Consider the following 25930-nt stretch of genomic DNA (forward strand, 5'->3'; position numbering starts at 1 on the left):
AATAGCAGACATTGCAACTTAACACGTCTGTTACTAACAGTGCACGTAACTTGACTGAAGTGGCAGCCATATGAGCATTTATGACCAAACATTTCCATGAGCTAACACTGAGAACTACCCTGTGGCTGTGCCTGACAGGCATCTGTTATAAGGTGCATCCTGATTTCAGAAGTGTTAGAATATGGGGGAAAAAAGCTTCTAGAAATTGAAGAAATATGGTAAATAATTTTCTCCCCCACCCAATCATGGGGAAGTACAATAGATCAAAGTCTTCTGCAAGTAAGTTTCTTTCCTCTGATTTTACAAAAGCTGCAACTCACAAAGTGTAAATTGATTGAGAAGGAGATGTGAATGAGTGATTTATGACAAAGATAAATATGCAAGTTATTTCTAAAATGTTTCAATTTTTGGTTTCAGATGTATAAACAAGGAAAATCCCTCTTGTGACTTTAATTTTTTTTTTTTTTTTTTTTTTTTTTAGGAATAAAGATTACTGTAAACCCAGAGTCAAAGGCAGTCTTGGCTGGACAGTTTGTGAAACTGTGTTGCCGGGCAACTGGACATCCTTTTGTTCAATATCAGTGGTTCAAAATGAATAAAGAGGTAATTTTTTAAATATATCTTTTAATTCTTCCAAGGAGAGAGAATGATAGAGAATTAATTAACATTATCGTCCTAAATGTAGTTTTAACAGTTTGGTAAAAGAGTCTGATAGACATTGCTAGGTTATTACTGAAGTAGTCAATAGTCATTATTTTGGTAAGACAGTTCCAGAATTGTCTCATGAAAACATTGTAAACAATAATGAAATTAGTTCTCCACTCTAAAAATTGTGGAAAATAGGGATTACTTAGGGCAGCAGTGTTAGCGAGTATAAAACATCACCAGTACATTCTTGTGTATACAAACTCTTCACAACAGATTATGTTCCAACCAAAATCTTTAAAAGATTTTCAAGGCTATATGGAAAGTTAATGTGCTATTCTTTTTAAGAATTCCACATCACTGTTTTATCTGTATCAGAAGATTTAGGACCTTGTGGTAGATTCTGAAGTAAAATTCAGATGGGCAGAATGGGCCATTTATTCCTTTTGTGAAATGATTGGATCCCTGCAGCACCCAACAAATAATTTAAATTCACATTTTAGAATTCTCTTTTCTTCAGAGTTCCTTGAGCCATCTTGCACTGGGGATTTCTCAGTGGGCTGGCTGCCTGCATTGTGTCCCACTTCTGTGGGCTTTTATCTTCGATCCCCCCATCCCTCTCTATCCTCCTCCCACTTCCACAGTACCTTGAAAGTCCATATTCTTTTCACTCTGTTAGTCCCAGTAATTCAGCTTTCTTCCAAACTTGATGTCACGTCTCCCTTTGCAAATCTGAAACTAAATAAAAGCTGTTCTGAGAATGACTTTTCCTTTAATTGGATTGCCTCATACTGTAGGTGAATTCTGTGGTTTTATACGATTTTGTTTCCGTCTGTTACACAGAGGTAAGACAGAGCAACTGTGGAATGTAGTAAAAAGATTGCATGTAGCTTTGGCACTAGATAGGTCTGTGTTGGAACTCTGACTGCCATTATTAGCCATGTGAATTCCTATCATCAGAGGTTGTGAGAATTAAGTAGACAGGATGTTTTACGTGCCTAGGCTCTTGAAAGATTGCACCTAAAGGTATTTTTTTATCATATTTTCTCAATTGCAAAGTTACTTTCATTTTATTAAATGCCCTTTGAGGAGAAATAGTGGAAAAACCCTACTACATTAAGTATATCATTTGTAAGCTATGTCCTGATTGGAAAAAGGTAGAAATGTAGGGGATGGAAAATGCATCTTAGAGTTGAAGAGTTGTAATGGATTTTAAAACTCTTAAGTTTTGTAAAACCACATGATCATAGGAGTATTGTAGGAGATGTTTACTTAACAAGTGCTTGTTGAGCACCTGTTTTGTGCCGGGCCATGTTCTAGGTGTGATGATACAGCACTGACCAGAAGGTCTCTGCCCTCAAAGAGCTTACACGCCAGTGGGGACAGAGCAAGTACTGTTAATTCCTGTGAGTTAAGAGCTATGAGGAAAATCAACAGGGTGGCAACATAATATGAGAAGCTACTAAGGTTTTAAGCAAGGGAAGTAACATGGTAGGATTCGTGGGGTTTTTTGTTGTTGTTGTTGTTGTTTTGTTTTGTTTTTTTGTTTTTTTTTTGAGATGGAGTCTCGCTCTGTCGCCAGGCTGGAGTGCAGTGGCGCGATCTTGGCTCACTGCAACCTCCACCTCCCCGGTTCAAACGATTACCCTGCCTCAGCCTTCTGAGTAGCTGGGATTACAGGCGCGCATCACCACGCCCAGCTCATTTTTTGTGTTTTAGGAGAGACGGGGTTTCACCATGTTGGCCAGGGTGGTTTCAATCTCCTGATCTCGTGATCCGCCTGCCTCAGCCTCCCAAAGTGCTGGGATTACAGGCGTGAGCTGTCGCACCCGACTAGGATTCATGTTTTTAAAACATAAACTTGCGGCTTGAAGGAAGCAGAGAACAGCAAGGTGAGCAGTTGTCTTAATACCTGTGCTTGACTGGAAGTAGCAGTAGCGTGGAGAAGAGAAGGTGGATCACAGTGCATAATTCAGTGTATATTTTAGAGAGAGTCAACTAAGCTGACAGATTAGATGTAGAGCATGGGGAGAAGGAAGAGAAATCAAGGATGACCCCTTAGGCTTTCCACCTGAGCATCTGAGATGTGTTATATACTGAGGTGTTGAAGATTGGAAAATTAATTGACAGAAGACAGATTAACGGAGAAAAAGCTTATTTGTGTGCATGCAAGAGCTTTCAGAAGGAGTAGCTTGCTAACTGGTTAAGTTATGTAGCTAATTTAGTAGGGAAAGGCAGGGGCCCTGTGAGCATAATGGATGGGTTTCTTCAGGAAAGACAAAGGGGAGAAGAACAAGGGAAGATAGCAAAGTTTGTGGTAATGTTGTTCATGCAGGCACCAGTGGTATCTCCTCTTCATTGTGACCGTAAAGTCCCCAAAGAGAGATTTATGGTACTTTTACTCTTGGTCTGTTGCCTGGGGGTAAAAGCTGCCCCACGAGGGAATTTATGGCAGCCTCATTTCCCAGAACTTTCTGTTTTGGGTCAGATAAAGGAAGACTGAGAAGACTTCTTTCTGTATCTGTTGAGTCCCAGATGTCTTCAGTTTAATATAATCTTCATACCAACTCAGGGGTTCTGAGTGGGTCTCCACAGATCTTCAGCCCAAGTAGCCTTTGTTAAGAGGATACATCTTCCATTTTAACAGGAGGGAACAGAGCAGTTATAAATAAGTACAGACATGGATAGGTTTGTGATTTGTTGGCAGAAAAAGGAGGTAATTTCTGTCTGAAGTCAGTGCCTAAGAGAACTAGGATTACAGGAAGTTTGAGGAAAGAGTATACATCAATAGTCTAGAAGGAAAACACACTTAGGACGATATAGTAGGATTGTCAGGCAGTTGTAAGTGCAGCCTGTCATCCCAGTTGTCACATCCTGAGCAAAATACTCTTGCTTTGGTGTAGGTACTGAAAGGGGAGAGAGTAGAGTTCAGTAACTTGGGGTTTGGAGAGGGAGGAGGTGAGCTTGTTAAAGTACAGGTTGAATATCCCTTGTCTGAAATGCTTGAGACCAGAAGTATTTCAGATTTTGGATTTTTTTTAGGTGCTGAAATATTTGCATTGTATACTTAAAAGTTCAGCATCCCAAATCTGAAATGTTCCAGTGAGCATGATGGAGGTGCTCAAAGAGTTTTGAATTTGGGAGTATTTCAGATTTTAAATCATCAGATTAACCTGTTCTTTGCAAGGGAGTTATTGTAATGAGGCACTTGAGTAAGCCCCTTGGCAATGTGCCAAAGTTGGGTGTAGCTGATCAATTGCTGGGAGCAGAAAAAGCATTAATAAAAGAAACCTTACTATTGGAGGTGGGGACTGTGGATGGCCATCCCGTCTTACTGTCTCATTGATATGCTTTCCATAGCTCTTCTCTGTCTAGACCTTGAAGGAGATTGGATATTGTTTGGTTAAGGAGTTTATCCTCTTACAGAATTTTGCAGATCAGAAGGTCCGGGGTCTCAAGGTGAAATAACTTGCCCACGTCTTCCCAGCTAATGTGGTCAGAGCTGAAAGCAATAGCCAAGCCCAATTCTCTGTGTTTTCTCTATGCCGCTGTGGTGTTTGTATGTTGTATGGCTGCTAAACTCATAAATGTTGCAGTTGTAGATTCTTTCAATACTCAGTGATTGATCTCTTAAATGCCAGAGCAAATAGTTTTCTGTTAGTGAGCCTTTGGAAGATGTTTGGGGGCCAGCTTAACTCTCTGGTTTATGGATTTGTAAAAGACTGGATTTTTAATACTTCAGTCCTAAATAACTCAAAGCGTTACTGTTTTTAACTCAGAAATGTTTTAGAACTTGGGGGAAAAATGTTGCACTTTCAAAGCTTCATACTGAAATCATAGATTTTGTACAGCATATTTTATAAGGTGTGTTTTTGATGAGTCATCCACTTCTCTTATTGATTCTTTCACAGATTCCAAATGGAAATACATCAGAGCTTATTTTTAATGCAGTGCATGTAAAAGATGCAGGCTTTTATGTCTGTCGAGTTAATAACAATTTCACCTTTGAATTCAGCCAGTGGTCACAGCTGGATGTTTGCGACATCCCAGAGAGCTTCCAGAGTAAGTAACGAAAGAAGCTGAATGTTGGGATGGGGATTCCCCATATTTTATTTTATTTTAAATGTTTACTTTTAAACAATTTCAAAGTATCAAAAAACATAGCAAAATTTCACATAGGTACTTCATCCATTATAATGTCAACCATTGTTAAGATTTGATCCATGTGTTTTGTCTTTCTTTTTTTTTTAATTTAGTTTTTGGTTTTGTTGTTTTTTAAGACAAAGTCTTTTTGTTGCCCAGGCTGGAGTGCAGTGGTGCCATCTGATCTCAGCTCACTGCAACTTCCGCCTCCCAGGTTCAAGTGATTCCTCTTGCCTTATCCTCCTGAGTAGCTGGGATTACAGGCACATGCTATCACACCTGGGTAATTTTTGTATTTTTAGTAGAAGTGGGGTTTCACCATGTTGGCCAGGCTGGTCTTGAACTCCCGACCTCAGGTGACCCACCCGCCTCAGCCTCCTGAAGTGCTGGGATTACAGGTGTGAGCCAGCATGCCCGGCCTGCTTTAATTGTCCTTCTGTGTGTGTGCGCGCACGTTCACACATGCACACACACATATATGTGTGTGTGCAGATACTTTAGGATGACATAGACAGGCCTCAGTCTGGTCGCTGCCACTGACCTCTTCAAGTTTGCCTTCCTTCATGTTCCATTACTCTGCCCTCACACACGGCACCTATATTCAACTTCGTTTCTCCCTGCTGCTTCCATGGTCTCGAAATGTCTTGCATATTCACACTCCACATCTTTGCGTCACTTCTTCCTTCCATCTTGAATACCTTTTCTGTCTGTCATACTTTTATGACTCTTTCAAGCCTCAGCTCCCTCTGCTGCCTTGGCATTCTGATTTTACCTCTATTATAGAACTCGTTGCATTGATTTTGAAATTATTTGTTTGCTAGCTGTCTGAGCAGTGTAGGGATAAGGAGTTCCCTTTTCTCTTTCTAGTTCTTAGAACAAAGCCTGGCAGGTAGTAGTCGCTTACCAGTTATGCAATTCATTGACCACCCTCATGAGGCACAGCCTTGGGCTTCGATGTTACAGCTATTTTAAACTAAGCATGAGAGAGAGCCCCTGACCCCAAACTACTTACACAACTATCAGGAAAGATTATCTGCTACAACAGAAAGCAGGAAGACTTTCTTGCTACCACCTCTTTCTCCCAAAAGTTAATCTTTTGAACGTATTTCTATATTTTGGTTGTTTGTGTTGTCAGGCTTGTCTCCCTATCTAACTGAACTCCTGAAGGGAAAGTCTCGGTCTTAATAATCTTTCGTAAAAACAAACACTCAATAACCAATAGCACTCAGTAGATGTTTGTTGACAGAATGAAGAACCAGGGTGAATTCTGTTTAACAAAGTAGAGACGGAAATATTTCCATCAAAAACATTTAATATTCTTACATTTAAAGCACAAATTCAAAGCTACCTAAAAATCTCTGAAGGATTCTTGATATCTAGAACACTTCCTTATTTAAGAAACAGATTGTGGATCTGGCATGGTAGCTCACACCTGTAATCCCAGTACTTTGGGAAGCTGGGGTGCTGGGGCGGGTGAATCACTTGAGGCCAGGGGTTCAAGACCATGCTGGGCAACATGGCAAAACCCTATCTCTACAAAAAAAATGCAAAAAAAAAAAAAAAAAATGGGGCCTGATGGTGCACACCTGTAGTCGCAGCAACTCAGGAGGCTGAGGTGTGAGGATCACTCAAGCCCGGGAGGCGGAGGTTGCAGTGAGCTGGGATCACACCAGTGCACTCCAGCCTAGGTGACATAGCAAGACCCTATCTCAAAAAATAAGAAAAAGAAACATTGTGAAACTAACATCATGGAAAAATGCTATTTCCTGAAGTTACTCTTACTCATGAATACTAAATATGATCATTATAAAAAGTAGATCAGTAGATAAGCACATAGCATTTGAGACCTGATAGTCTTGAGTTCTATAATTAGGATATGAATCAAGAAGAGGTCAGTTTGTTATGAATTTGAATGTTGTGGTCTTCAGTTTTGTAGGAGAAAAAACTCTCATATAGTAGTCTTGCTGCTCACTTTTCAATTCTTTTCCATAATGCGTATTTTTCTCCCAAACTATTGTATTGCTCCTAAAAAATGATCTTGTGGAAAAAAACTCTAGCGTTGATGTCAGCACTAAAGGCCATGTAGTGAGTGTATCATTCACTGCAAGGAAACATTCATCAGACTGCTTTGCTACTCACTCTGCTCCATCTTTTTAGTGCAATAACTAGCATTGATCAAGACAAAAAACCAGTCTCCTCTAAAGAGTAGTTGTCAGATATTATTTTGTTTATTTGGTGCACAGTCAAGAACCATGTTCTTTGTTGTATTTGCTGGACAAAAAGAAGGATAGGGAGGAAAACACTTTTTGTTAAAAGAGTTAAAATGCTGCTGTCTCATTCTTTTCTCTCACTTTAGTCTTCCGTAAACTCAAATGACGTTAAGGTTGTTGAGAAATAAAATATCGGTCAGGCGCAATGGCTCACACCAGTACTCCCAGCACTTTGGGAGGCCGAGGCAGGCAGATCACGAGGTCGGGAGTTTGAGACCAGCCTGACCAACATGGTGAAACCCTGTCTCTACTAAAAATACAAAAATTAGCTGGGTGTGGTGGCCCGTGACTGTAATCCCAGCTACTCAGGAGGCTGAGGCAGTAGAATCGCTTGAACCCAGGGGGCGGAGGTTGCAGTGAGCCAAGATTGCACCATGGCACTCCAGCCTGGGTGACAGAGTGAGACTCCATCTCAAAAAAAAAGAAAATATCACCATTTTCTTTAAATAAAAAATACCTCATGCACCTCTGCATTAGCCCATTCTCACACTGCTATAGAGGTACTATCTGAGACTGGGTAATTTATAAACAGAAGAGTTTTAATTGACTCACAGTTCTGCATGGCTGGGGAGGCCTCAGGAAACTTACAATCATGGTGGAAGGTGAAAGGAAAGCAAGGCATGTCTTACATGGTGGCAGGAGGGAGAGAGAGCAAACAGGGGAAATGCCAGACATGTAAATAACCAGATCTGTGAGAACTCACTGTCACGAGAACAGCATGGGGGAAACTGCCCCCATGATCCAATCGCTTCCCACCAGGTCCCTCCCTCAACATGTGGGGATTACAGTTCGAGATGAAATTTGGGTGGGGACACAGCCAACTCATATCAACCTTTCTCAATTTTATTTAACTTTTTTATCCCATTTTTTATTAAGGGGTAATTTATATACAGTACAATGTACAGATACGTGTACAGTCCAGTGAGTTTTAACATATATATAACATGGGTATATGTACCCATTTAACATATATATAGTCATTGACCAGTCTAGATATTTTATATTCAGCTTCTTCCACTCAGCATAATGTTTTTAAAATTTACTCATGTTGTTCAGTGTATCATTAGGCAGTCCCATCTTTTTGCTGAGTAACATTCCATTGTATGGATTGACTAGTTTGTTTATTCATTCTCCTGTTGATAGACATTTAGTTTGTGTCCAGTTTTGGAATATTATGAATAAAGCTACGATGAATATTCTCATACAAGACCTTTTCTGGACATATGTTTTATTTCTTCTGGATAGTTACATAGAAGTGGAATTGCTGAATCCTAGAGTAGATATATGTTTAATTTTTCTTAACTGCCAAAGTTTCCAAAATAGTTTACCATTTTGCATTACCACCAACAGCGTATAAGATTTCAGGTTACTCGCCCCATATCTTGGCCAACATTGGTTGTTAGCTCTTATTGATGAATTAAGCTTTTGGTCATTATGAAATGCTCCTTTATCTCTGGTAATCCTCTTTGTCTTGAAGTTTACTTTGTGTGATACTAATATAGCCATGGAAGCTTTCTTTTTTGTTTTGTTTTGAGAAGGGGTCTCACTCTGTCACCGAGGTTGGAGTGCAGTGGCACGATCATGGCTCACTGCAACCTCTGCCTCCCAGGCTCAAATCATCCTCCTACCTCAGCCTCCTGAGTAACTGGGACCACACACATGCACCACTGCACCTGGCTAATTTTTTGTATTTTTGGTAGAGATGGGATTTCATCATGTTGCCCAGGCTGGTCTCAAGCGATCCGCCCACCTCGGCCTCCCAAAGTGCTGGGATTACTGGCATGAGCCACCGCGCCTGGCCAGAACCATGGCATTTCTTTCATAAGCTTTTTTGTATAGTATATGTTTTTCATTCTTTTAGTTTGGAATGTCTTTGTTTAAAGTTTCATTTTAGATGACAGAATACAGGTAAGTGTTGCTTTTTGCTCTAGTCTAGAAAAAAGTCTCTTTCAAGGTGTTTAGTCCATTTACATATAATGTGATTATGTTTAAGTCTGACATCTTGATGTTCGTTTTCAGTTAGTCTCATCTGTTCTCTTTTGATCCTCCTTTCCTGACCTCTTTTGGACTGGGATTACAGGTGTGAGCCACCGCGCCCGGCCAAAAAAGCATTTTTTAATATTCCATTTTATCTCCTTTATTGACTTTAGCTGTGTCTTAGTGTTATTTTTTAGTGGCTGTTTTAGAGATTACAGTATGCCTCTAACTTATTGTAGTAAACCTTCTACATATTCTACCTTAAAATATAAGAACCTTATATAGTATACTTTCATTGTGCCCCCCATTGTATATTTGTTGTCATATATTTTACTTCGACATTTACTTTTGAGCAATCTTGTAAAAGTACGTGTGTGTGTGTGTGTGTGTGTGTGTGTGTGTGTATTTATTTTTATTATTATACTTTAAGTTTTAGGGTACATGTGCACATTGCGCAGGTTAGTTACATATGTATACATGTGCCATGCTGGTGCACTGCACCCACTATCTCGTCATCTAGCATTAGGTATATCTCCCAATGCTATCCCTCCCCCCTCCCCCCACCCCACAACAGTCCCCAGAGTGTGATATTCCCCTTCCTGTGTCCATGTGATCTCATTGTTCAATTCCCACCTATGAGTGAGAATATGCGGTGTTTGGTTTTTTGTTCTTGCGATAGTTTACTGAGAATGATGATTTCCAATTTCATCCATGTCCCTACAAAGGACATGAACTCATCATTTTTTATGGCTGCATAGTATTCCATGGTGTATATGTGCCACATTTTCTTAATCCAGTCTATCATTGTTGGACATTTGGGTTGGTTCCAAGTCTTTGTTATCATGAATAATGCCGCAGTAAACATACGTGTGCATGTGTCTTCATAGCAGCATGATTTATAGTCCTTTGGGTATATACCCAGTAATGGGATGGCTGGGTCAAATGGTATTTCCAGTTCTAGATCACTGAGGAATCGCCACACTGACTTCCACAATGGTTGAACTAGTTTACAGTCCCACCAACAGTGTAAAAGTGTTCCTATTTCTCCACATCCTCTCCAGCACCTGTTGTTTCCTGACTTTTTGAGATGGAGTCTCTCTCTGTCGCCCAGGCTGGAGTGCAGTGGCACGATCTCGGCTCACTGCAAGCTCTGCCTCCTGAGTTCACGCCATTCTCCTGCCTCAGGCTCCCGAGTAGGTGGGACTACAGGCGCCCGCCACCACGCCTGGCTAATTTTTTGTATTTTTTAGTAGAGACGGGGTGAGTCACTCTTATCACCCACGCTGGAGTGCAGTGGCGTGATCTCGGCTCACTGAAACCTCTGCCGCCCAGATTCAACTGATTCTCCTGCCTCAGCCTCCTGAGTAGCTGGGATAACAGGCTCTTACCACTGTGCCCGGGTAATTTTTGTATTTTTAGTAGAGATGGCTTTTCACCATCTTGGCCAGGCTGGTCTTGAACTCCTGACCTAATGATCCACCTGCCTCGGCCTCCCAAACTTCTGGGATTACAGGCGTGAGCCACCGCGCCCAGCCCACGTGTGTATAATTTTTAAAGATTTTGTTTAAAATATTCACTGACATAGTTACCTGTTGTGGCACTCTTGAGTCTTTCCTTCTGACCCAGGTTGCTATCAAGTAAAATTTCCCTTCTGGCTGAAGAATTCCTCTTAATACTTCTTATGGTTACAGTCTGCTGTTTTTCTGTAATAATTTGTAAAAATTATTTGTGTAATAATTTGTAGACAAATTATCTCAGCATTTGAATTCTGTTAATCTGTTGTCTTCATTTTTGAAGGATATTTTCGTCGTGTATAGAATTTTAGAGGTGTGTTGGTTTGTTTTCACCACTTTAAAGATGCCATTCCATTGTCTTTTGGCCTCCATTGTTTATCATGGAAATTTATTTATTCCTTTTATAATTGCTCCCTTGAATTTTTCCTGCTTGGAATTCTCTGATTCTTGGACCTGTAAGTTATCTTTCATCGATTTTGAATCATTTTTAGCCATAATCTCCAAATATTTTTCTTCTACTTTCTTTCTGGGACTCTTAATTATATGTATGTTAGACTATTTGATATTGTCCCACAGATCTTGTAAGCTCTTTTTTTTTCTTTCCTTCACTTTATCTCTTTTGTTTCCAGTTAGATTTCTTCTAACCTGTTTTCAAGATTACTGATTTTTTGGTGTGACCAGTTTGCTGGTAAGCCCATCGAATGCACTGATGAGTGGAAATCTTGATATTTTAAATTTCTGTTATTTCCATTTGGCTCTTTTTTTTTTCTTCAATTTCTCACTGCTGAAATTGTAAGTTGGCCACCATCTTCTGTGCAAGTTGATTAACTGCCTTTTTCTCCAGATCCTTTAAGATGTTTATCTTCGAATTAATGTGAGTCTCTATCTGATAATTCCAGAATGTAGGTCAGCTCTGCTTTTCTTTTTCTTTTTTTTTTTTTAACAAGTAAACATGGTTTATTTTAGAAATGTGAGGCTATTTCAACATTAGAAAATTTTTTTTTAATTATACTCTAAGTTTTGGGATACGTGTACAGAACGTGCAGGTTTGTTACATAGGTATACACATGCCATGGTGGTTTGCTGCACCCGTTAACCTGTCATCTACATTAGGTATTTCTCCTAATGCTGTCCCTACCCTAACTCCCCAGCCCCTGACAGGGTTACATTTTCTTTCTTCTTCGTAAGTCTCATAATTATTTATTCAATGCTGAACATTGAGTATAAAAGAAAAATAGCATTAACATATGAGATTAACATATTACACATTAACATATAGAGATTGAAATTAATATTTTTATGCTCAGGAACTAGACACACCCCTCGTAATGGCTACTAGAATAGGGGTATGAGTCCATCCAGTTTGTAGTTGTTAGGTCTGTGCTTTAGATGTATTCAGTTTACTACTGACGGAATTGAGGGTAGAATGAGGATTTCCCTTTGGCAGGACTGAAATTGACATATCGAGAAGACTAGAAATCTCTGTTTTACAGCTCTAGTGCCAAACTGCAAGAGATCTCTCTCCACTTTACATCCAGAGTCTCAGCTTATTGGACCACTGAAGCATTTTTGTTCACCAACCCCACCCTTGTCTCTTCTATGTCTCAGGGGGTCTGAGACCCCCCTGCCTAGCTGCCTTGCCCCCAGCCAGCCTTGGAAAGCAAAGGCACTGCATTCACTGAGGGCCTCGTGGGCCTCCAAGGGTTTCCCTCAGGCCTCTGTTGTGCCGTCAGCCTTCAACAGGCCCTGTGGACCTGCACTTCACAGGTGATCTTTTAGCTCTCCTCTCCTCCTTCGCCTTCTGCAAGAGCACTTGAGAAGGGCCGAAGACAGGGAGTTGGTGAGTGAGGCAGAATCTTTTGCAGCTGGGGTTCCTTGAGGATCTAATTGGTCATGCCCACTAGGGGTGACCAGCCATCTGGTTTTCCCAGGACTTTCCTAGTCTTAGCACTTTTAAGTGCTGCATTCTGGGAAACCTTTCTGTCCTAGGCAAACTGAGACCACTGGTTACCCTAATGCCAGCTCACAGTCTGCCTTTAAAATTTTGTAAAACATTCAGCTGGCTTACCCTTCCTTGTCAACTCAGTTCTAAAGGCATTAGGTGGCACCAAACATGGTAGACATTTGTGTGGGGTGGGAGGCAGTGGGAAGGGACTGGGATGACCCAGAGCAGGATATCAAAGCCCCGGTAAGGTGTCCATGTGGGAGTGGAGCAGTCTCCAGAAATAATCCTGATGAATTAAGAGAGCAATGCATATCTTTCTAGACTATTTTTGTGCATGTAATAATATATCTATAAGTGGAATCATATTCATTCAATGAATATTACTGATCACCTGTAATGTGTTAGACACTGAGTTTCATAATGGAGACTTGTTGCATAAAATTGACAAGCTCTTTGCCTTCAGGAAACTTAAAGAGTATTAAATGAGTGTTAAGTAAATGATGTCTAATATCTGCCTGGGGTAGAAATGTTAGTGATAACTCACCAATATTTATTCAGTGCGGGTTACAAAACTTATTTCAGTATGTCAAAGAACGGAACTTAGAGCTTTCCATGTTAAATGCCAATATCGTTCAAGATGTTAATAAGTTGTTTGCCTCGATCAAAAAGATTCTGCAGCCAAACACATTTAGAAGACACTTGAACTATATTCCTCTCCTTAATTGACAATTCATACTAACACTTTTAAAGCTTTGAGAAGTCCTGCAATCGAGAAATGTGTTTAACCCAGAATTTTCTAAGTTTATTTGTCCACAGCATTCTTTTGGCCACAGAATATCTCGTAATATTTCTATGAGTGCTATAGTTTTTTTAAACAGTTTGGGAAATGTTATTAAAAATTGTAACAAATGAAGGGGGAACTTGACACATCTCTTTAATTATAGGGAAATTTTATTTTTATTTTTAACCTAGAGATTTTATTTTTTCTTTTAATTTAAGGAAGTGTTGATGGCGTCTCTGAATCCAAGTTGCAAATCTGTGTTGAACCAACTTCCCAAAAGCTGATGCCAGGCAGCACATTGGTTTTACAGTGTGTTGCTGTTGGAAGCCCTATTCCTCACTACCAGTGGTTCAAAAATGAATTACCATTAACACATGAGACCAAAAAGCTATACATGGTAGGAAGTTGATTTTGGGGTCTTTTGGGGGAGTTAACATGTAAAACAAATGGTACAATTGAAATATAAGGTGAACATTAAAACTCATATCCTTTCAGATGTTTTAATGTTTTCAGTATTTTTATTTAAAGTCCCTTATGATTTCATATTAACTAGCTCTTATATTTGCTAAAGTGCTAGAATTCAACTCAGGCTTATATGTAAAATGTCAAATAGTATTGCATGAAACTCAGCACTGTTGGAATCATTACAACATTTACTTGCTGGTATTTAACCTGATGAATGGAGCTAATGTAACAAATGTCTAAAGCCTTCTAAGATGTTATGTTTTGGAGCGTATTTTTAAAACACAAAATGATTTTTTCTCCAAGCCATTAAAATAGAAGAGGAAGCATTTACATGTTCTAATATTGATATAGGTGCCTTATGTGGATTTGGAACACCAAGGAACCTACTGGTGTCATGTATATAATGATCGAGACAGTCAAGATAGCAAGAAGGTAGAAATCATCATAGGTAAGAAGTATTTCCCCAGTGTTCTGACAAGTGGACTATAATATAAGCTATATAAACTGCAACGTTTAATTAAGCAAAGGAAATTATACTTTTTACCCCATACTATTTAATGATGTGTTAAGCATTAGAAGTTATATTGTTTATATTGAAATTTGAAAGAATGCATACTAAAATCATAATCTAGGTTCACAGAAAGCAAAAAGAATCAGGAAAAAAAGCCATTTTGTTTAAATTATTTTAGTTACAGTTTATTTTCAACACTTATGATAAAATATGTATTCTTTAAAGCTTTAGCTACAAAAAACTTGATTCAGTGGGAAAAGATTTTTGGCCAGGTGCAGTGGCTCACACCTGTAATCCCATCACTTTTGGAGGCCAAAGGTTGGTGGTTCAGTTGAGCCCAGGAGTTTGAGACCAGCCCGGGCAACATAGTGAGATTCCATCTCTAATACAAATAAATAAATAAATTAGCTAGGCATGGTGGCATGCACTTGGTCCCAGCTACTTGGGAGGCTAAGGTGGGAGGATTGCTTCAGGCTGGGAGGTTGAATTAAAAATAATAATAATAAAAGAAAAAGATTTTTAATAAAACATTTTTAAAAACAAACATTATACACATATAAAGGAAAGAAAGGTTATTAACAATCCCATTCTTAACTGCGTAATTTGGGAATTTGTTATATTTCAGCTTAATATATTTATAGTTATATTGTTCATAGTTGGAGGTATTGATGCATGTGTTGGTTTGCCAACATTATCTCTATGATATTGATCTCTATTTGCTTGACGGCTGCCCTTCTTAAGATCATGAATTACAATATATTCAAATTTGTTTTTTCTGAAACAAGGAAGAACAGATGAGGCAGTGGAGTGCACTGAAGGTAGTGTAAGTCTTTGGTTTGAAACCAAATCTCCTGCATGCTAGTTACTCTTGGGATTGGTGGAGTGCTTTTAGCCTACTGAGTGCAGTGATGGAAAAAATACTAGCTGTAAGAAATGATTTTGATTGAAGAATATTGTATTTTAATCTTTGAAGTTTTATAAATGGACAGACATGATTAAATTGACACAGTATTACAATAACTAATCTTCAGTTGACTTTCTTTTAATATTACATATAAGAACAAAGTTCCTGCATTGTATCTTTTGAGTAGTGAACATTTGCAATTAATTCTTAATGTTAATTTTTATCTACATAAAATTTGTAAGAAAGATAGGTGGCTACGTGATCATGGATATTTGTTTTAGATTATTTTGTCTGTCCTTTAGCCATGATTAGATGCTCTCAAATGAAATTTAGTTTTTATAAAAGTTTCAGGAGAGGAGATTTATTGTTTAACATATGTTCTATGAAATATTAAATATTCTGTATTAATATAAAATTGATCAGGATTTTTTGAAGCTACAGGACTCTAGATAATCTACCATGTCACCTTTACCATAATATGTAAAGGGAACTGAAAATCTATTTCAACATAAACTTCTAATTTGTTTTAATTAGCCAAAGCATTGTACTTAAATTGTAATGAGTAAATATTAAAATTTGGATCATCTTTCCTTAGTGTGATGTCACATTGTTTTGCAAAATTAGATTTGTGGATGGCAAAGTATTTTTTTCAATTTCTGCCTCTATTACATAAGCTTAGGCTCTACTTGGGTAAAGTAAGGAAATAATGTTAAATTTTATATTTTCTGATTTTCCTGTCCTTCATGTCTCTATAGTATCACTCTGAAATACTATAATTACTGTTTTCATCCTAATATGTAGTTGCAAACAAGAATTCTCTCTTGTAAGAGAGTTCTAATCCCATGATCTGTTAACCCTGTTTGAGGGAAGCCATGTGAAGAAATCCTAATCGAACTCCTCTTCCTCTCCTAATCCTTTTTGCCTAATTGCATGGTTTTTAAGTCTTCCTAATGTTGGAAACCTCTTAAGAATAAATATAAGCTAGCCCCGCTGTTTGGCTCCAAGGTGATGCATGTGAATTATCACCTTGCTGTGCTGCTTCTGTACCTGCAGTATTCTCTATAATTTTTGCAGTAGCAAGCACACTATTAAATAATAATTTTCAAATAACTCTATTTAGAACATATAGAGATGAAAATCCAGTTACGAAGTTTCTCCAGAAGTCTCAGATGAAAAAATTAGATCCAAATTTTTTTCAATGAAAGTCCACAAAATTGAGAATTGCATATGAACAGTGTCCTTTATTATATATATATTTTTACCTATTTAGCATGGTGTCCTCTATTTCATTTTGTGTATTTTATTCAAGAGACTTGATCAGACTATTCAGCCATAAAAAAGGAATGAAATGATGTCACTTGCAGCCACATGGATGGAACAGTCATTATGTTAAGTGAAATAAGCCAGGCACAGAAAGACAAATATCATATGTTCTTACTTATCTATGGGAGCTAAAAAAGTTGATCTCATGGAGGTAGAGAGTAGATTGAGACTGGCAAGAGGCTTGGGGGTGGATGAAGAGAGGTTGGTTGATAAGTACAGACCTGCAGTTAGAAGGAATCAGTTCTAGTGTTTGATAGCACAGTAGGGTGACAATAGGTAACAGCTATTTACCATGTCTCTCAAAATAGCTAGAAGTGAAATGTTCCCCACACAAAGAAATAAGTGTCTGAGATGATGGATATCCTAAATACCCTGATTTGATCATTATATATCATATGCATGTGTCAAAATATCATATGTATCCCATAAATATGTACGATTATTATGTATGAATGAAAAAAAGATACTTGATCAGGATGAGGGGTGCGGGTTGAATAGGTGGATTTTTTTAGGGCAGTGGAACTATTCTGTATGATTAATGATGAATACATGTATACAAATTTTAATCATTTAGGAGGTCAGAGGAGGGGGATTCCAAGATGGAATACAGACTATAAGAAAAGAACCTAACTGTATTGCAAATGTATGGTACAGCCTCACTGAAGAGGGGTGAAAGAGTACAGTGCTACTGACCTAAATAACTAAGTAACTGGGAATGAGTTGAGCCTAATACTGAAGGCAAAAAAAATTGCACATAACACATGTGCTGACTCAGACCTTCTTCAATTGATTTTATGTAACATATAAGAATAAAGTTTCTACATTAAAAAAGTATGAATAGTATATAACATTTGTAATTTATTGTTAATGTTAATTTTTATCTTCATAAAACTTGAAAAAATAGATAGCTATAATGTCATTACTTATTTTACCTATCCATTGGCCATGATAAGATGTCCCATGGGGTACAGGTTAATTCTGAAACCACTATTTCTCCCAAAAACACCTTACACCTTGAGAAACTATGAATCTAACCATGAGAAAAACATCAAATCTCAGTTGAGTGACATTCTGCAAAATACCTGACAGTTACTCCTCAAAACCGTCAGTGTCATCACAGACAAGGAACACCTGAGCAGGTGTCAGAACCAAGAAGATACAAGCCTGAGGAGACACAAGCAGTTGTAATGTGAGATCCTGAATGGAGTCCCTGAGCAAAAAAGACCATTAATGGTTCATTAGTTGTGACAAATATACTATTCTAGCATAAGACGTGACAAATACACTAGGCTAACATAAGATGTTAATAATAGAGAAATTAGGTATGGGGTATATAGGAACTCTCTCTGCACTACCTTCACAGTAGTTCTGTAAACCTTAAAATGTTCTAAAATTAAAAGTTGACTTAAAAAGATCATTTGAGATTACTGTTTTTAATTAGCCAGAATATCTAAAACTATGAATAAATTATGAAAGAGCCTAGTTTTTGTCACTTAATGAAAACAGTGATGGCTTAGAAGTCCTAAATGATAAGCACAGCAATATTCACTATTCTTTGCTATTCAGTATTTGCATGGCTTCTTCATTTAATTTGAAAAGTTGTAAACTGATAAAACACTATAACATGATTCACTGGCTCAAAACTACTTGGATTAGTCTTACTATTTGTGCTAAATTGGTGTTTAGATTACTTAATCTATTTTCTCTTACTTTGTTTTAGATGAATTAAATAATCTTGGTCATCCTGGTGAGTAATACAAACATAAAACTTTAGTTTTAGATTTTTAAGTTGTTGAATGCAGCAAAGTTACCGTAGGTACTCTTTTGCTACAGTAATACTAGTAACTTTTTTCTCTTTATTGAAATAATATAATTTAAGGTTGAAATTAACTACATGAAGTACAATTTTATACAAGTGATACATTAAAAATATTTTAGGTTATAAAACTGTAAGGGTAGAAAAGAAGTGTTTGAGGTAACATAAAACCTCAAGGTATTATCATTGTGTATTACTCCTTATATCATAACAAGGAAGTTAATGGGGGAAGTACGTGACCTTTAATCTGAAAGCAGGAAGCAGTGTTTGACAGAGTGACAGGGGTAACATTTCTGAACTGATCAGACCCCTGGGACCTTTTTCTTGGTGCCTCAGTCATACAGCATATCTGAACTAGTTGGGTGGGTGCCTATATCTGGAGTAAGAAGTGTGTTTGTGGGGATCATTGGCATCGTACAGGTCGGTTGGTCAGTGACCATTTCTTAATGAGTGACAGTTGTCAAGAGTATGTAGAACTCTGTAGGCTAATTTTAATTAGAACAGATTTCTAATAAGTTAAGCCTTCACCTGAGATAAAAGGCATATCAACAGTGAGAACTACATGAAGACACAGGATATCAACCTCGTGTAGGCTTTCTGAAAGACAATGATGGAACCTGTGGATAGATCTGAAAATAAAACCTTTCAGGAATAGTTTAAGAAGGTGGTTATGTCATTTAATATTTGTAGAAAACCCTATTACTTCTCCACTTATTTCTCATTATTTTAGCATCATTACTAGTTTGCTTAGTGTCATACTCATATTGCATTAGCAAACATCTATTATTGTGAATGCCATTGGGCTGTGCTGACTGTATATAAGCAAACTAGACACAGCAGAAAGTCCCCATTACCTGTGCGTCATTCTCCTTGCTGTAGTGTCCTCAAATTCACATAAAGCCTCAATGAGACCTGCCTCAAGTAGGTCTTGAACTGTCAAAAACCATCCTAGTAATTGTTTCTCTTACTGGGGGAGAATAGGGGGTCTGGATAGAATCCCCTTTCCTAAATTAGTCTGTTAATTCTTGCTTTTCTTTAATGAACATTATGAAAAGTTATTTCAGAAAAACTTTTGTAAATAGCCACCACTAAGATTCTAAAATTTTCCTGGCCCTTTGAGTTTTTCCTCATTTCCCACAATTCAGGGAGTACCAAAAATTTAGGTTTAAAAGAAGAATGTTGTATAGGGAAAGCTTTTAATAGGCTTCAGTGGCATGTATTTGACCAGTAGTACAAAGTTATCTCCCGACAGTAGTGGACACACAACTGATGAACTACATCTTTCCCTACATGGTGCTTCAGGTGCGGGGCGGGATTTTATTTTATGTATACTAGAGGGTGAAAGCATAGAATCCAGAAGGAGACTCCCTAAGTTAGTATCCAGATTTGCTACTTACTAGCTTCATAACTTTGGGCAAGTGACTTTAATCTCTCTCTGCCTTAATTTCCTTATCTATATAATGGGGTTAATAATAGTAGGCACCTCATAGGGTAGAGTGAGGTTTCATTAGATCTGTTATATATAAAGCATATAGAACGGTGCCAGCTGAGGCATCAGGAAATGGTAACTACTGCTACTTCCTATTGTGAACACCACCATCGTTTTTTTCCATTCAAGAGTGTTTTTATTAAAAATCTGAAGAGTAGAAACTATATTCTGTAAGTGATGCTGCTGATGTTATATACTTTTCATGTATCTTTAACTCTGGAAATATACCATGGATCTTACATGTTTTGCTTTTTTATCTTTGTATAGATAATAAAGAGCAAACAACTGACCAGCCTTTGGGTGAGTAGAACTTTAAAATGCATTATCAAAGTATAATTATTGTGTATAACTCCAGAAGGAATTTAAGACATTTTAATTTGGTTTTTTAAAGAAATGTGAATAACATTGGGACCAAATGTTTTATTTTTTTGTATCTGTAAAAGAAGGTTTAGAAGAGGAGGCTTAAAAATGATTACAAATTCAGTTTCTAGGGTCAAGTCAACTTCTGTGGAGTGATTTGTGTGTTTCTCACGATATGCAAACAGACATGCGTACAAAAAGAAACATGTACATGCTGCATAGTTAGCATAGAGGAGGAAGTGGTTAGTGCTGTCTCTTGGTGAGGGATAGAAATCACAAAGGCTGCAGTAGCTTTAGCGTTTGCTCCCCTGTCTTCTCCAATGGAAAGAGAAAAGAATTTAGGATAAAATGTAAACGAACAGTTGCATTTGAAGAATGCCTGGGACAAGAAAATGTAAGGGAGAAAACTTTAGCAGATAAAAGTTTAGCAGATTAACATTTAAAGATGGTAAAAATAGCTAACAGCTTGATGCTGGCAGAAGCCAGATAAAATATGTCTAAAATTTGTCCATTGGATTCAGCTACTGAAGATGTGATTGGTGGCTTTGAGTGGAATGTTGAAAGTGCCTAATATGTGTCAGTTACTGAGTTATGCTGGGAATTTAAACATGGATACAATGTATAAAATAGTGGAAAAAGAAAGATTCAGAAGTGAACAAATGAAGACAGTACATATTAATTTGTTGGAAAGAAAGAGTGGTTTGAAATTAACTAGATAGGGCATATATTCAAAGTGTTTTGGTAGGAGGGGAAAATGTGAGGATATTTACATTTGGAAAGGAAGTATCTGTTGAGACTGTGTAGATTAGAGTGATCCATCAAAGAGAGGACAATTTATAGAGCAAGTTCCTAGAAGAGATGATAGGGATTTGGGCCAAGGTGAAAACAAGAGAAATTGGCTTTAATCAGAATGTTGAAACCTCTTTTGAGATTAAAAAGAAGGAGAGATTGGTGAACAGATAGATTTATTGGGAAGCTGAGGACATTTTTAGTTTATGTTTTTTGTTTCTAAGTAATTAGGCGTAGTAATATGCTTAAAAGATTGAGGAAAAGGCTGGGCATGGTGGCTCACACCTGTAGTCCCAGCACTTTGTGAGGCCGAGGCAGGCAGGATCACCTGGGGTCAGAAGATTGAGATCAGCCTAACCAACATGGAGAAACCCCGTCTCTACTAAAAATACAAAAATTAGCTGGGCATTGTGGTGCATGCCTGTAATCCCAGCTACGTAGGAGGCTGAGGCAGAAGAATCTCTTGAACCCGAGAGGTGGAGGTTGTGGTGAGCTGAGATCGTGCCATTGCACTTCAGCTGGGCAACGAGAGTGAAACTCTGTCTCAAAAAAAAAAAAAAAGATTGAGGGAAAAAGAGTAAAGTAAGGCTGAATATAGATCTTATTCTATGGCAGAGGCTTAGAGGCTAAAGAAAATGGAAGCAAGGTCTTACAAGTCTGATCTACAAGTGAATGTGTATTGAGAGTCCAACTAAGACTTTTAAAGAGTAAGAATTTATAATGGTTCAGATCAGTTGTGTGCTTTTTCTGTAGCAGATCTCAGCTTTAAAATAGAGAAGATAGGCTGGGTGTGGTGGTACACGCCTGTAATCCCAGCTACTCGGGAAGCTGAGGCACGAGAATCACTTGAACCCAGGAGGCGGAGGTTGCAGTGAGTGGAGATTGTGCCACTGCACTCCAGCCTGGGCGACAGAGTAAGACTCTTGTCTCAAAAAAAAAAAAAAAAAAAAAGAAACCTGCTATGTTTCATTCATAGTGGTAAGTTTTCATGTATTCCAGCTCCATGATCTTTTCTTTAGATCCTCCAGACAGACCTCACTGATTAAGAAATACCTATTAAAATAGTGTTCTGAACAAAGGCATAGCCATCATATTCTGTAGAGAGGAGCATACATATGTCTTAGGTACACAAAATGACAAGATCCAAATGTAACTGGGTTAGTTGCTGAAGATGGTTTAATCACAAATATGCATTTAATAGTAATGCTAATAAACTAAGTGTTTTCACCTAGTGAAATGTTTAATTTAACCCTGAGATGTAGGTATTTTTCCTCATTTTTAGTAGATGAAAATTTAAAACTGTAAGTGTTTAATAAAACTTGCTCAGGATTATACAATGTAGTAGTTGAGACAGGATTGAAACCCATCTATCTCTCATTCCATAGCCTCCGTTAGCTCCATTATGCCAGGTATTCTTTCTCAAACATGTCCCAATTGAAAGAATAACAAGATAAATGGAATATCAGGTCAACTTCTATCATTGAAGTTCACTAAACATTTATCTAATGTTTCATCTGTGCTTTATGACAGGCATCCCCCACCCCCAGGCTGTGGACCAGAACTGGTCTGTGGCCTGTTAGGAACTGAGACACACAGCAGGAGGCGAGTGAGCGAGCATTACCACCTGAGCTCTGCCTCCTGTCAGATCAGCAGCGGCATTTGATTCTCATAGGAGTGTGAACCCTATTGTGCACTCCTTAGGAGAATCTAACTAATGCCTGATGATCTGAGATGGAACAATTTCATCTCAAAACCACCCCTCCCCTGACACCGTCCATGGAAAAATTGTCTTCCACAAAACTGGTCCCTGGTGCCAGAAAGGTTGGGGACCGCTGCTTAATGAAACAAGAGAACAAGCCTTGGTTTGTGAATTCAAGGCTTTGGATACTAATAGGAGGCAGACATTAAATGAATAATATAGTACATGCTACATGCCTAGTAGAAATATGTAAAGAATCTAGAAATTGTTCATAGAAGATGGTGATCAGATTAGTCGAGGAGAGTTAGAGAGGGCTTTACCTAAGAGGCAAAGCCAAGGTGAGGATTTTCAAGGACGAATTGGGAGCTCTCAAGGGGATAAAATGAAAATATATGGGATGAGAGTTCATTCAGAAATGAAGGAGAGGGAAAAAAGGGTGAAGACATGGTAAGAATGGAGGCATGAAATAGATGGTGTGGGTGAGGAACAAAGTTCAGTATTGCTAGAAGGTAGAAAACTAGGGAAGGAGTGGCTGGAGGCTATACTGGTAATGTAGTTATTTATTGCTGAATAACACTGCAAAATTTACTAGCTTAAGAACAGCATCAGTTTTATTATCTCTCATTGTTCTGTGGGTTGGACTGGGTTTAGCAGGTGGTTCTGCTGGTCTTTCTTGGGGTCTCTCATGCAACTGCAGTCAGATGAGGCTGGGACTGCCACATTCAAGATGGCTTTGCTTACATACCTGGCACCTTAGTGGGGGTTGGTGAAAGACTGTGAAGACTGAAAAAATCTCCCTCCCTCTCTCTCTCTCTTTCTCTTCCTCTTACTCTGTCTCTCTGTCTCTCCCTCTCCTTGTCTGTCTCTCTCTGTCCTCCCCTCCTCTTCCCGCCCCCAACTTCTTTCTCTTCGTTTCCCTCTCCCTCTTTCCTTTGGTTCCTTCTCCCTCCCTGAGTGGTCTCTCCATGTAGCTGTTTTCTTTATGTCGGGCTGGATCTCCAAAGTGGAAACTGTCAGAGCTTTTAAGGGCTTAGACCCTGAACTGGCAGAGGGGTCACACATATTATGTTGCTCAAAGAAAGTCGTGATACAGCCCAGATTCACAGGTGGGGGTGACTGTACTACACAAGGGCAAGGATACTGTGGTTTGCTGGGGGCTACCTGCTACCACATCTGGAAAGATAGGCATGGACTAGAATGCAAATGGCCTTGAATGCCAAACTACATCACCAGTCTAACCCCCAGCCACTCCTTCCCTAGTCCTCTACCTTCCAGCAATACTGAGCTGCCTGTTCCTCACCCACACCATCAAACTGGGACTTTATTTTGTAGGACATGGAGAGTCATTAAAAGATTTAATACATGTGATTTTTAAATAAATACTTAATAGCATTTACTATATGCCAGCTCCTTTTCTAGGTGCTTCTGAATATTAACTCTATTTAGAAAAGTAACATAATAATCAGAATTATTAGACATGGGATTAATGATATAACACCAGTTTTTGAAGAATATATTACATTAAACTTTGGAAGACGTTTAGGATCATGAGTTAAAATGTCTTTCTGAAGTGGCTTCATTATTCTTTTGCTGAATCCACTGGCATTTTTGTTTCACTTTTCCAATAAATTGTTTGTGTTCAAGAAGTTGTGGGTAGCTCTTACAGTAAATATTTTTCTACAGAAAAACTCTTTCATTTATGTTATCACTTGAAAACCATTATAAATTGCTTTATATTTGCCGTCTTGAAGTTTTCTTTATTCCTCACTCTTACCTCCTCAAATTCAAGTTTTATTGTTCGTTTCTCTGTCGTGTCCTTTTTCCTCTCCCTTTCTACTACTTCTCGATCTTCCATCCACCCCAGTTCACCTGTCACCCAGGAACTGTTTTACAAGTAGATTGGACAGGTAAGATTTACTTACCCACCATCTTTTTCACCAGTAAAGTCAAGGAAATGCTGTAAGACATCTTAGGAACTAGCTATTAAAAATTATCATTGGAGGAAAATTTTAGAAGTGTTATAGACAATTATCGATACATATGTTTTAAGACCTGTAGTTCTCACACTGTTGAACCCGTGCATTCTGTAAACTGTACCAAGTATTCTTTCCCAAATAGAGAACAAAACCAGTGAATAATGATTTGATATCAGCAAAAACATCCCATGATGCTTAGTTTGACAGTTAATTTTATTTCCCCAAAGACCCAGTGATTTTTTTATTATATACTTATAATTGTTTTCTACCAATAAAAATCTATGATGTGTATAATTAAATGATGGTATTCCATGGAAAAATGGAATTATTTACAAGCATTTTACTACCCCAGTAACTTTTTAACCTCTTGCTGTAAACCTATGATTTGGACTATAATGATGTAAAGCAGAGACAATGCATTCTCACATTTCCCCTCACCTTAGAAGAAGACTGATTTGAGTCTGTCACTCTGTTGAGGTTGGATCCTTATTCTAATAGCATTGATGGACTCAAAAAAATGTGCTGTGGATCAGCCAGCTAAGAGTCTTGCTGTAGCAGGTACTTTAGTGTAAGAATACTAGTTTATTTTAAAAGAAATTTTAAAAAGGCCAGGCGTGGTGGCTCACACCTGTAATCCCAGCACTTTGGAAGGCCGAGGTGGGCAGATCACCTGAGGTCAGGAGTTCGAGACCACCCCGACCTAAGTGGAGAAACCCCATCTCTACTAAAAATACAAAATTAGCTGGGCGTGGTGGCGCATGCCTGTAATCCCAGCTACTCGGGAGGCTGAGGTGGGAGAATCGCTTGAACCCGGGAGGCAGAAGGTTGCAGTGAGCTGAGATCATGCCATTGCACTCCAGCCTGGGCAACAAGAGCGAAACTCCGTCTCAAAAAAAAGGAAATACAAGTGATGTTAAGTTTTATGCTGCCTCCTATTGAAATCCATGCTGAGTATTCTCCGCTTTTTCATTGAATTAATAATGCGGCTTAAGTATCATTTCACTGTTATGTATATTCATAACACTGGGCAGTTGGCTAGAAATCTCTGAACATGTACATATAGAATAGAGATGACATGATATAAAATTACTGAGGCTTTTCACAAAGTAGAGTTTTTTTTATCCTTTGAGAGAGTCACAGTCTTTTAAATTGATGCTAGTTTTAACACTAGGTTTAAGTGTTCCATGGAAAGAAAAGCAATTTCACCAGAGAGATTTTTGGTGAAATAATCATCTCAATTATTTGAAACATCTGAAATTACATATTGTAGACGTCGAGTCAGCAATGTGATTATTCATGCCTGTTTCAACTTCATAAGAGTAG

The 25930-nt window shown here is 38.3% G+C and overlaps 1 protein-coding gene and 1 long non-coding RNA gene across 7 annotated transcripts in view; one reads left to right on the plus strand and one right to left on the minus strand.

The window, feature by feature from the left end:
- MALT1 (MALT1 paracaspase) overlaps positions 1–25930 on the plus strand; it is an 83013-nt gene that overhangs the window by 24420 nt on the left and 32663 nt on the right. For 3 of the 4 annotated variants that reach the window (XR_007066087.1, NM_006785.4, XM_011525794.2), the window contains exons 3-9: positions 482–603; positions 4557–4707; positions 13494–13672; positions 14092–14188; positions 15037–15069; positions 18199–18225; positions 20051–20083. Coding sequence is in view for 3 of the 4 variants with exons in the window: in NM_006785.4 (NP_006776.1) it covers positions 482–603; positions 4557–4707; positions 13494–13672; positions 14092–14188; positions 15037–15069; positions 18199–18225; positions 20051–20083 (642 nt within the window). In the remaining variant the exon portion in view is untranslated. The remainder of the gene's footprint in view (positions 1–481; positions 604–4556; positions 4708–13493; positions 13673–14091; positions 14189–15036; positions 15070–18198; positions 18226–20050; positions 20084–25930) is intronic. The other variant, NM_173844.3, reaches the window with a different exon arrangement.
- LOC105372146 (uncharacterized) overlaps positions 1–25930 on the minus strand; it is a 107606-nt gene that overhangs the window by 23272 nt on the left and 58404 nt on the right. For all 3 annotated transcript variants that reach the window (XR_935537.3, XR_935536.4, XR_007066391.1), the window contains exon 2: positions 1293–1383. This is a non-coding gene — a long non-coding RNA (uncharacterized LOC105372146). The remainder of the gene's footprint in view (positions 1–1292; positions 1384–25930) is intronic.

Source organism: Homo sapiens, chromosome 18 (assembly GCF_000001405.40).
Source record: "Homo sapiens chromosome 18, GRCh38.p14 Primary Assembly".
NCBI lineage: Eukaryota > Metazoa > Chordata > Mammalia > Primates > Hominidae > Homo > Homo sapiens.